Below are 12947 nucleotides of genomic sequence, written 5' to 3'. Positions count from 1 at the left end.
CATCACAGCCAATAATTTAAAATCAAGTATTAGCTCCTATTCCATTTTTGGTTTGGTTTGGTTTTTTTAATAGAGACAGAATCTTGCTATGTTAGCCAGCCTGGACTTGAACTTCTGGGCTCAAGGGATTCTCTTGTCTCAGTCTCCTGAGTAGCTGGGACTACAGGTGCATGCCACCATGCCTGGCATCAACTATTGTTCAAGTATTTTGACTACCTTTCCACGTAGTTTTCCTTCAGGTCTCTTTTCTCCTGTGCAGTCCATCATGTTGGGACCTCCTTCCTGCTCTCCTCTGACCTCCTCCTCTCCCAGCAGGCGGTTTAGCACCCGCCTCCCCACCCACAAAGCCCTCGTAACTCTTTCAGCAGAGCAGTTTGCCATCTCATTGTTAAACATTTTCCTGATCATAACCCTGAGACTGTACCTCCCACCCCCACAGCATAACAGGTCTCATTAAAGCTGGTTATTCAAATAACATTTTTTTGACCTGCTATAGCTGGAAAAGAAAAAATATTGGGACCAGGCACTGTGTCTCATGCCTTTAATGCCAGCACTTTGGGAGGCCAAAGAGGGTGGATCACTTGAGCCCAGACATTCAAGATCAGCCTGGGCAACATGGCAAAACCACCAAATCGCTACAAAAATTAGCTGGGTATGGTGGTGTGTGCCTGTAATTCCAGCTACTTGGGAGGCTGAGGTAGGAGGATTGCTTGGCCCCAGGAGGTCGAGGCTGCAGGGAGCCACGATGATGCTGCGGCACTTCAACCCAGTTGACAGAGTGAGACCCTATCTAAAAAAAAAAAGAAAGAAAAAAAGAGAGAGAGCGAGAACATTGGGAGAGTCTATAGACTGAAGTTGCAGTCTTTGGAGAAAAAAAAATCTCTTTAGTACCCCTGAGGATGGTCCTTCATCCATGACTTCTGGCAGTGGAGAATCCAGATCCACAGTTGGAGAGCAAGTGAAGGCACACTTCTGTGAACGATGAAATGTGTAAGAAAATGTGTTACAACAAGAAGGAAAGCACACCTGGACATGACAAACATATGAATCCTAAGCTACACAAAACAGCATGAAACCCATTCTTGCTGAAATAAAACCCCATCTGTCCCACACAATCATTTCTCCCTTATTAAATAAGATGCCAAGTTGCTTTCATCAGATTGGCATTTGGCCGATTCAAGAACAAGCATCAGAATCTCCCTAAGTTTGTTCCTGGATATGAACAATGGTGATTACTGCTGTTGTTTGTGGAACTTCCCTGTCAAAGCAGCTGAGTGATTGGCAATAGGCAGGCAAGAGAAAGGCAGAGCAAAGGATGCCAGTATCTATTGCAGTCATTTGCCAGTATAACGTAGGCTTGTCAATTATCTTGTCATGCAGCAACTTATGTTGAGTTTAAAAACAGTAAATGTCATACAAAAGTATAAGTGATTTATATATGAGACTACAGGAACACTTAAAATCTGCAATGCAATAAAATGAGATACACCAACAGATTGCATGTTTTGTGGTTATTACCACAGAGAAAAAAAAAAAGAAAAAACAAAAAAGCCTTGAGAAAATAACTATCTGAGAGCAATCAGCTCTAAAGCACGAACCAGAACCACTTCCCACTTCACCCCCTTCCCCAACTCTAAGACCATTTGATCGATCAATCTGACTATCTAATAATGCTTTAGTACTTTAAGTAACAAAAGCTATAGCACTCAAATCAAAAGCCAGGCTGTTGTCTACTGCACTTTGCAGCCTCACAATACACCATCTGACAAAATGCAAAAGGCCTTGCTAAAGGCAGAGGGAACATAACAACAACAACAACAACAACAACAAAAACACAGAAAATTCAAGATGGGTTATAAGCTATTGCTAAAGTGACCATACATAGGGTGACCTATTTTGAAACAGACAATCTTCCATTTGTTTTTAGAAGCTTGTTCTTTGGAATCACATTTTTAAATGAAGCATTGAAATGTTTGGCTTTATTGTTAGATCTGTTACCAAGAACAAAACAAGTTGAGAGACAAGAAATCAGAAATTGGTCACACACCTAAGCTTCTCTTATTTTTCATTCCCTGCTCTGCTATTCCATCATGGAGGCTGCTTTGATCTAGTGCTTCTATTACTTCCTATCTGTTGACATGACTTTAATCTATCTCTCCACTTCCCTCTCGACTACTCTCAGCTTTGTTCTCAGTCTTCCTGTGTAAATTCTAACCTGTTTGCCTAGCTATTTTGCCCTCCAGATTGGCTTCTTGCACCTGGCTTACACATTTTATTCTTTCTGTCCTGTTTACATATCCACGCTGCCTGGGCAGTTTCCTATTTTGCCATTTCGCCTCATAGTCCTTGGATTGTCTTTACTACTTTTTTTTTTATCCTGCTATTTTTTCTACAGTACTTTTACTGTGGTTGCTTTCATTGTATGTTCCTATAATACAGTCCACAAGCTAGTCACCAAATGTTCAATTCAACGGTTTGGTTTCATTGCTGCACAGCTAATTTTCCCAGCCAAAATTTCTGCCTTCCCTTTCCACCTTGATACTTCTGCACAAAGCCAGGGCACCTCAGCTCAGGCAGCAAGTGACTATACATAATTAAACATAATACAAAACAACCCTACATGATTACGGCCTGTCATGAAGAAACACTGCATTCTTTATTTGACAAAAGAGAAACATGAGAGGTTTTTTCAAGACCAAAGTGCATGGTCCAGGCACTATATCTAAACTATTCTATTAATTATTGTTATTTTTATGAACTTCATTGAACATTAACAAATTCAAATGCAAGAAATGAGGGTTATCTTTAGGAAGGGAAATATGGAAGACTCCAACCTGAAGGTTCACCTTTGTTTTTTAATCATTTCCTGGCAACCTCAGCAGTTTATGAGGCAGGGCAGTCTTCATGGCACTCTTTGTGTGTGTGTGCTTTTATATTGTGATAATTTGACAGACCACCATATCTGTATATCTTACAGTTAAACCACCATACCTCAGTATATCTTATGCCTTATTGTTTTATTTTAAAAAGTTTAAAGGGGTTATTTTACCTAAAGAACATAGACATCTCTTTAAAATGTACGACTCTCTGTTTGACATATACTGCTACACTCTTTGACATCATCAAGGAAAACTAGAATATAAACTAAGATTACATATAGTAAGCCATTATCTCACAAGCCCTAAAAGTCTCCCTTATCACAAGAGAGGTAGGTTCTGCTGAGAGGCACATTGATTCCTTTATTTATCACTCACTGGCACTCCTGATGGGTTGGGTACAAGTGGCAGGGTTCATGACTCCTGGTAGTTTACTTTCTAAAATGGAAGGATATCACAAATATAAAAAGAAATAACTGCTATGCAAATAAACATGAATAAAAGATACCCAAGGAAAGCTCTTCAGCAGAGATAAACATTAATACTTTTACCAAGGAAATTACATAAAGGTGGGGGTATGTCTGAAATCAGACATAATTGAGTTCAGATCCCACATCTACTGCTACTAATTGTGAGAACCATGGCAAGTTATTTAATTTATATGATCTTCTTTTCTTTTGTTTTCATCTGGTAGAAAGGGATAATTTCAAATACAGTCATCCCTCAGTACCCATGGTGAGATTGGTTCCAGGATCCCAACAGACACCAAAATCTGCAGATGCTCAAGTCTCTGTTATAAAATGGCATAGTATTTGCATATAACCTACACACCTCCTCTCATACATTTTAAATCATCGCTAAATTACCTATCATGTCTGACACAATGTAAATGCTATGTAAATAGTTATTTGTACTCTATTATTTAGGGGAATCGTGACAAGAAAAAAAGTCTGTACATGTTCAAATACAACCATCCCTTTTTTCTTTTTCAAATATTTTTAAATCTACAGTTGGTTGAAACTACAGATGCAGAACCCATGGATACATAGGGCCAAATGGATCTTCAAAATTAAAAGCAGTAACATAAATTAAAAGGTTTAATAAATGCTATCTCTCTTTTTCTCTTCCATTGATGCTATTCAAAATGTTGGTTATACCATAGCCCCTACTGATCACTCTCCAGAATACTGGCCTCCTTCTGTTCCCTAAACCTAACCAAAGTGTCTCCCCAGGGCCTTTGCGCTTGTTCTTTCCTGTGCCTGGAGGACTCATCACCAAGAGCTTCTCATGGCTAACTGCTGGCAATTCACCTCTCAGCCCAAATCTTCCACCTTTGGAAGAAAAGCTGCCCGTGCTCCAATTGCTCCCTATCCTATTACACTTTCATCATCTGTGTAGTACTTACTGCCACATGAGCTCATCTTATTATTTGTTAGTGTCATTGTTTATTGACTGGTCCTCCTCCTACACACACACACACACACACAGAGAGAGAGAGAGATAAGATTAGTCTCCATGAAAAAAGAGAACTTGAATGCCTCATTCACTGCCAGACCAGCACAGGGTTTAGACATGACTCTGAGCAATGGAGAGTTAAGGGAGTGAATGAGAAGGTTATCATCTTAAAAAGATTACTCTGGCCACAGTGTGAGCAATGAATTGATTGTGGAAGAGGCAAAACCATAAAAACAGTCAAAAGATCAGTGACTAACAGGGATTAGTGAGAAGGAGAAATCAATAGGCAGAGCACAGAGGGTTTTTAGGGCAGCAAAAATACCTTATATGAAAGTATAATGGTAGATACACGTCACTACGTATTTCTCAAAACCCATACAATGTACAACACTAAGAGTGAGCTTTAATGTAAACCGTGGACTTTGGGTGATAATAGTGTGTCCATACAAGTTCGCCAGTTATAACAAATGTACCACTGTGGAGGGAGATGCTGGTAGTCGGGGAGGTTGTACATGTGTGGGCACAGAGGGTATATGGAAACTCTGTATACTTTCTGCCAGATATGCTGTGAATGTAAAACTGCTATAAAAGGTAAAAAGTATATTGTTAAAAAAGGAAAAAATAAGTTGGAGAAGCCAAAACTCTAGACAGGGAGAGTCGAACAGAATAGTGCCCTAATCAGGTAAGATTCACGTTACAGGTAGGTTTATATCCTCATTTTGCATAAATGCCCCTCTTGATGCAGAACTCCTTGGCAGGGACACACCACCATGGCTAGCATCTTCCTGGAGTTAGTATAGTGGGTCTTTTACCTACATTGATCTATCTCTTTTGCTTTTTATTAATTAAAAACATTTTATTAATTTGAACAGTCAGTTCGTATAATAGGCTTTTAATGAGTTACAGTCACTAGTTCCCAAAAATATTTCACATAAAATACTGTCAAAACACATTTTTCTCCATCTTATATTTTTACAAATCTTCAGTGATTTCAGACCAACCTGCTAGGCTATTGTGACATTTTTGATTCCTCATTCATCCAATACAATAATTGGCTGGTCCATCCTTCCAAGATGTGTGTTGCCCACATATTTTACATGCATTCCTTCTATATTTTAATCCCATTGCAGTAAATGATTATAAGCAACTAGAGATTGTAGAGACTTTTAGAACCTACAAATACTCTTCACCTGTCATTTCAAGCTGTGTTCTATACACTAAATTATACTACAAGGAAGAGACTGTCTAGGAATTTTGTGAAAAAATTGATCAGTATAGTGCCAAGAGGTTTCTGTGGGACAAACCTAGAGAATCCATTCATTTTTATATCAATGCATTAATCAAATCTCTTTGATTTTAGTGGTTTTAGTTGATGAATCACATTTCTCCATCTTGTCTGTAAGGTTATCAAGAGACAACTCATTGAAATTGGTGATTGTGTTGAGACTAAGGTTGTAGTGACAACTGTCTAAATGCCAGACACCATTCTAGGTGAATACAGCACTAATCAAAAGTGTCACAAATCCCTGCCTTCATGGAGTTTACATTCTACAGGAATGACATTCTAGTGGTACCTGAATTCTGGCCTTTTCTTTTCTTTTTTTTTTTTTTTTTGAGATGGAGTCTTGCTTTGTTGCCCAGGCTGGAGTGTAGTGGTGTGATCTCAGCTCATTCCAACCTCCGCCTCCCAGGTTCAAGCGATTCTCCTGCCTCAGCCTCCCGAGTAGCTGGGACTACAGTCACGCGCCACCATGCCCGGCTAATTTTTGTATTTTTAGTAGAGACGGGGATTCAGCACGTAAGCCGGATGGTCTCGATCTCTTGACCTCGTGATCTGCCTGCTTTGGCCTCCCAAAGTGCTGAGATTACAGGCGTGAGCCACTGCACCTGGCCAATTCTGGCCTTTTCTATAAACCAGTTTATTCTGTTGAGTTAGCCTTTCTTTTGGGATTTCCAGGTCAGGATACACTTAAAAGTGTATGCTGTTTCTTTGTATTTGTGCTTGATACCTTGCCTAGTTTCATTTTATACATGCCCTTTTAAAATTCTGAACTCAACAGACTGGTTCTGAGACGGAGGCATTTATTTCTTTGGATGCCTCCCCTGACTTCATGCTGCTCATGACCACAGCTGGGGACAGAGAGATTTGCCTCCAGTCCTGGCTTTCCCACTTATTGGCTGTTACTAGAGCAAATTACTCTACCTCTCACAGCCTGTTTTCTCATCTATAAAATATGAAGAATCAGACAAACTGCAGAGCATTGTTGTGAAGAGTAAATGAGCTAACTGATATGGTACATCTAGCAAGGTGCCCAGCCATAAAGGAAACCCTCAGCATTTCTTTGTAGCAGGTCTAACCCTCTTGATTTATGCTTTCATTGTGAGTTTCTGACAATGTCATCAGATTTTTTCTTTATGAAGTTGTAAATCTATGTTCCAGTTTAAAATGTCACTTTCTCCTAGATACCATCTTTATTCCTCTATGTCTGTATGAGGCCAGTAACCCAGGCATCCACTGTCTCACCTATAAGATGGTGGGCTCCAAGAGGGCCAGGAGCTTGGTTTTATGTCTTTCTTCCAGTTGAATTTCCAGCAATTAATGCAATGCCGAGCACATAAAGGGCATGCAAATACTTGCTGAAGGAACTGTCTCAGTTTAGGAGATACATGTACCTATGCCTGCTCTTCCTTACTCCATTAATACTAACTCAAGGATGAAAAGGCACTCTCTCAGCTACCGTCACTTATAAAACACTAACCACATCTTCTTGTACATCAGAATTAAGTAAAAAAAAATCTCCTAATTGATGCTGTGCAATTTGAGTGATGATATTTCCATCTTACTAAACATAGGAATAAACTACATTTGTCTTGAAAGCTTAATGTGCACTAAAACTATTCTTGTGACTAATACATTAATGTTTGTGGAGATTCTTATGGTTGTTTTCACAGGTGTGCTTGAGCACAAAAATATGGAAGCACTTTATATGCAATAGTTGATTTCTGCCTGTTATGTGTTAAAGTCTAAAAATGACAGTCTACCAAGTAAGCATGTTAGCACTAGGTCTTATATAAATTAGTAGCCTAGCCCTATAGATTATAAGGGTAATCTATAAGCATTTATTGAGTTATAAGTATTTATTAGAATACTGTTATGTGCATAGCACTGTAGTAATTACTATGATAATACAAAAAAAACTATCCAAAGAGCATATTTATATTAAAGGATACAAATGACACTTCAGCTAAATAAACCTGAGAGATCAGTGGCGTATTATATTGTTAAAGTCCAGTTTGATACCACAGTCTTGGGCAATCTATACAAAGGAAACAAGAGTAACAAATACTAGGTTTTGTAGCTACGAATGTAAAAAATGTCAATGACAATCTACCAAACCCAGTCCTGAGAGGTGACAGCGTGCTGGCAGTCCTCAGAGCCCTCGCTTTCTCTCGGCACCTCTTGTGCCTGGTCTCCCACTTTGGCGGCATTGGAGGAGCCCTTCAGCCCACCACTGCACTGTGGGAGCCCCTTTCTGGGCTGGCCAAGGCTGGAGCCTGCTCCCTCAGCTTGTAGGGAGGTGTGGAGGGAGAGGCGAGAGCGGGAACCGGGGCTGCGTGTGAGCCAGCGAGACCACGAACCCACCAGAAGGAAGAAACTCCGAACACATCTGAACATCAGAAGGGACAGACTCCAGACGCGCCACCTTAAGAGCTGTAACACTCACCGCGAGGGTCCGCGGCTTCATTCTTGAAGTCAGTGAGACCAAGAACCCACCAATTCCGGACACAATCCCACACGTATACCTCCTTGGTTTACTTCCATTATCCTGTGATGAAAGGAAAACAGACAAGGACATGTCTTTATAAACAATATTATAGGCATCACTATCTGAGAGATTATCTGATAATGGAATCATTGTTAGGAAAGACATAGGAATGGTCTAAGAGAGACATTTATGTATGTCTGTGTTATTTTCCCCCCATCACTGAAATGTATCTCTTAGTGATTGCTTATCTTACAACACAGCATGCTGAGTATGTATTCTCTATTAAATATCTGCTAGAATTTCTCAAGTTCAATAAGTTAGAGATGGCAGACAGGACTGAAGAGGGGCCTGTGTACATGGATTCTCCTTACCTAGTCTGGCACAATCTTTTATTTTCAGGATTCAGATTAATCCAAATACAATTAGAAATCCAACATCCACTAAAAAGCAACCTCCCTTAAAATAGCCCTCTAAGAGAAAAATCCTTAGGACCTATATACATGAAAATTTATACAACATTTTACACAGATATACAACTTTTACTAAGTAGTGATTCACAAGTTATTATTGTTTTAGCTTGGGATAGAAAGAGCTGATCTCTATTATGTCATGAATGCATTTTTTCTGTTTATCATTTCTTTGAGGTATTTAGGTAAATGATCTGTAAGGGACATTTTGATAAACACTTTTAAGGCTATAAAAATTCTTTCAAATACTAGCCAAAAATGTAAGCAACTTCATATATAACATGAAATCATTAGAGATAATCATGAGGTAAGTAAATGACAAATAGGTAACAAGTGTCATGTAATATTGAAACTGCCATTTTCTGAAACACGGAGTCAGCAAAATATAACCCACTGGCCAAATATGGGCTGTTACTTGTTTTTGTAAATGATGTTTTACTGGAACATGGCCATGTCCTCTGCTTTTCTACTACAATGACTTTGTTGAGTAGATGTCACAGAGACTGAATAGCCTTCAAAGCCTTAACATATGTATTATCTGGCCCTCTACATAAAAAGTTTGCTGACCTTTGCTCTGGAATATATAACTAATGTTCTAGCCAAAAAAAAGGATAATCTCTTTAGTAGATAAAATATATTTTAGTAATCACCAAAGCCAAATCAAATTGAAAGACTATAGAGTGTAGGTATAATATTCAAGCTTTATTGTTATAAAAAGACTTCAATAAACTCACCAATTAGTAGTTATAGTTGATACTTGTTCATAGCCACGTTACATATATCATTTCTAGTTTTCAAAACAACCCTCCAGGTGACAATTGGACATGTTCATTTTACAGCTGAGAAAGTCGAAACCAAGAAAACGTACTGAAGACTACTGTTATGGACTAGATGTTTGCCTCCCCCTAAAATTCACATGTTGAAGCCCTAATCTCTAATGTGATGATATTTGGAGATGGTGGCTTTCGGAGGTAATTTGGTTTCAATGAGGTCATGAGGGTGGACTTCTCATGATGGGATTAGTGCCCTTACAGGAAGAGACCAGAGAGTTTGTCCTCTCTCTGTGTCTTTCTCTCTCTCTTCACTATGCAGGATACAGAAAAATAAATAAATAAAAATTTAAAGAAGACCCTCTGTAAGTCAAAGAGAACCTAAACAACCAGGCTGGCACCCCGAGCTCAGTCTTCCAGTCTTGAGAACTGTGAGAAATAAATGTTTGCTGGTTAAGCCACCCAGTCTATGGTGTTTTGTTATGGGCAGTCTCAGAAGACTGATACAGACACACAGATCTATTCAGCTCCAAATTTGGCATTTCAGGTGTCTCCTTAGCTCCAAATTTGGCATTTCAGGTGTCTCCTTAGCTCCAAATTTGGCATTTCAGGTGTCTCCTTAACATTTTAAAGAAGGCACATCAGGAACATTCGCCATAAGCAGTACTAGCATGAATTGATATCATAAGTAGCTCCAACATGCTTCTGCACCCTGCACTGAGAAAATGCTAATATAAAAATTACTTCTGGAGACTTCTCATTAAAAATGAAGGAGTAAACGCATTTATTTCTGCTCCACTTTCTTCTCTGAAACCAGTTGAAAAATGAGAAAATAAAACACAGTAAGTAGAAATAAGACCAACTCCACACTATAATCAATGAAGAAAAGTCACCAAGTGCAATGAAATTTGATTTATATCTAGGAAGAACATTAAGCAACAACACAAGGAGCTCTTGTCAAATGGTCCATGATTTATTTATCTGCTAGTTTGTTTTTCTTCAAGTCAAGTCTTTGCATCAATGGGACTCATTTCTCCCCATGATCTAGTCAACTGAGCACATCAGTCTACATGCCTTGTTTAAACTAACATGAATCCCATTGAAACACCATAGAAAATGAAATAAAGAGTTGATTTTACCAGCTTGTCATAATCCCCTTCCATAGTCAGCTCTTCCTAACTTTTCTCTCTGCTTAACTTTTCAACTTCTGCTCCTTTCAGCAGTTTATATTGCCTCTTACTTTATTTCATATAAAACAGGAACAAGTAAAAATAATTGCTTTCATGTTCCTTATTACAGTTTCTATTCTTATATTAAAATCTCTATGTTGTTATAGGTCCAAAACTCCAACCAAATGGACCACTTGCTGTTCTTTTTTATACTAGGAGAATCTTACTGAAGCGCAACTTACGTGTAGTAAAATGCATAAATGCTCTATGAATTTTGGCAAACATGTACACCTATTCACATCTATATAATTATCATCCAGATAAAGATATAGAACATTTTCATCACTCTAGAAACTTCTCTCATGCCCCCTTTCCAGATAATTTACCACTATACATTGAGGTAAAAAATATTCTGATTTCTATCACTGTAGATCAGCTTTGTCTGTTCTAGAATTTCATACAAATGAAATCATTCGGTGTGCACTCTTTTGTGTCTGACTTGTTTAACACGTTTATGAGATTCATCCATAAACATTCCACATGTTTATAGTGCATGTACCAGTAGCTCATTTACTTTTATTGTGTAGACATAACACAAATTACTTACCTATTCCCTTCTTCATTAATCTTAGGATTGTGCCCAGATTTGAGCTACTATGGATAAAGCAAATATGAATATTCTTGTGAGTCTTTTTGTGAATATATGCTTTCTTTTCTTAGAGTATATACCTAGAGGTGAAATTTTTCAGTCATCAGGAAGGCATTTGTTTATGTGTTAAGTTCCACCATCCTTTGGGGTCCATTTCATTGGCCTCATCTTCCATGAAGTATTTCTAGCCCCGACTCCTGCGCTATCAGCCACAATTTATTTTTTTCTACTTTAATTTTTCTTAGCATATTTGTTTCTTCTCCTACAACTTTTTTTATTCAGGTTTTTGTATATTACATACCACGAAGGCAGGATTACGTTGTGTACTGTTGCCTTCCTCAGGCCTCAGTCACAGACAGTGCCAAGTATATAGCAAGTAACAGACTAAATATTTGTTGAATGAGGGAATGATTATTTTTATATATACTTTATCTTTTTCCAAAGATTATAAGCTCCTTGATGGCAGAAAATATGTCTCATTAACTTATATAATACCCAGAATTATCTGCACTAAAATAGTTGAATATCTGATGTGTACATATAAAAATAATTTTATATATAATATATGTACACATATATAATTATACGTGTACATATATAAAATGATTTTAAATCACTTCCAAAATACATGAATATTATAATTAAATCAAATTCAATTTGGAGGCCATGCAAATAATCAGTGGGTTTAAATTTTATCACATGGTTCTAATGGTCTACATTTTCCACCAAAAAGCTACCTTTTTGTTATACTATAATATAAGGTGAAAGTGGAGGCATAAGTGCCCTTCCCCAAATCTTTATTTCAAATCAGAGCTGATTTCATATAATGTTTTCATAATACACATATATTTAAATGTAGTCACAGAGATTCTTAAACATTAATCAAGAGCACTTAAGCATTTAGTTGTTCCAACTGATTCTCATTTGATAGAAAATTTTTGAAGAGGCTGATGTATTACAACTCAATTATTTCTTAGGATATAATTGTATTAACATTCTTAATTTTAAATTTCCAGGCATATTAAATGGCAACAATAAAATTAATGTGTAAGTGGAGGAAAGTTTCTAGCCTTTAAAATAAAATATTTTGTTCAAGATAATTGTATAGGATCATTTAAACTCATAAAGTGGGTACTTATTTTAGAAGAAAGACAAAAAAAAAACACCTTTCTGAAATGTTGCTTCATTATCTAGAATATCCATTCACCTCCTGAACTTAAAGGAATACTTCGGGATTTTTCTACATAAAGCTGTTTATTTGATGTCTTCTGATATTTTATCTGCTGTTCTAACACTTGGCTATTATGAGGAATGTCATAACACAAATGCAATTTATTGTCAGTAGAAATTTAAGAGGAGCTATGGGCTTGACATCGAATTCTAGTATTTTATTTAACTAGTTTAGTAGATGAGTTTTCAAGTAGAAAGGATTGAAAGAGGGAAAAAAATGAAATTTAAAAAGCACAACATAACAACTTTGCTTGGTAAGAGAAAAGTGTAAAACATAGGTAACTATGCCTTTGGTAATTGTTATAACAAAAATAATGTCATAAAAATTTGAAAAGAACTGCTTAGGGAAGATTGCTTAGGTGGGTTGTGTGCTTAGTCTGATACTTTAAAAAGCATGGTTTTATCATTTAAACTAGGGGTCTGAACTTTTTCTGTAAAGGGTAAGATAGTAAATTGTTTTTTGCTTTGCAGCCCATATGATCTCTGCTGCAACTACTGAACTCTGCTTTCAAAACTCCAAGCAGTCATACAAAATATGCAAACAAATGGGCATGACTGTCTCAG

At 37.5% G+C, this 12947-nt stretch overlaps 1 long non-coding RNA gene across 1 annotated transcript in view; it reads right to left on the bottom strand.

Annotated features, from left to right (window-relative positions):
* LINC01031 (long intergenic non-protein coding RNA 1031) overlaps positions 1–8250 on the bottom strand; it is a 61209-nt gene extending 52959 nt beyond the window's left edge. The window contains exon 1 of the long non-coding RNA NR_125789.1: positions 8057–8250. This is a non-coding gene — a long non-coding RNA (long intergenic non-protein coding RNA 1031). The remainder of the gene's footprint in view (positions 1–8056) is intronic.
* Between the last annotated feature and the right edge of the window lie 4697 nt (positions 8251–12947).

Source organism: Homo sapiens, chromosome 1 (genome assembly GCF_000001405.40).
Source record: "Homo sapiens chromosome 1, GRCh38.p14 Primary Assembly".
Lineage (NCBI taxonomy): Eukaryota > Metazoa > Chordata > Mammalia > Primates > Hominidae > Homo > Homo sapiens.
This window is presented reverse-complemented; position numbering and strand designations above follow the sequence as displayed.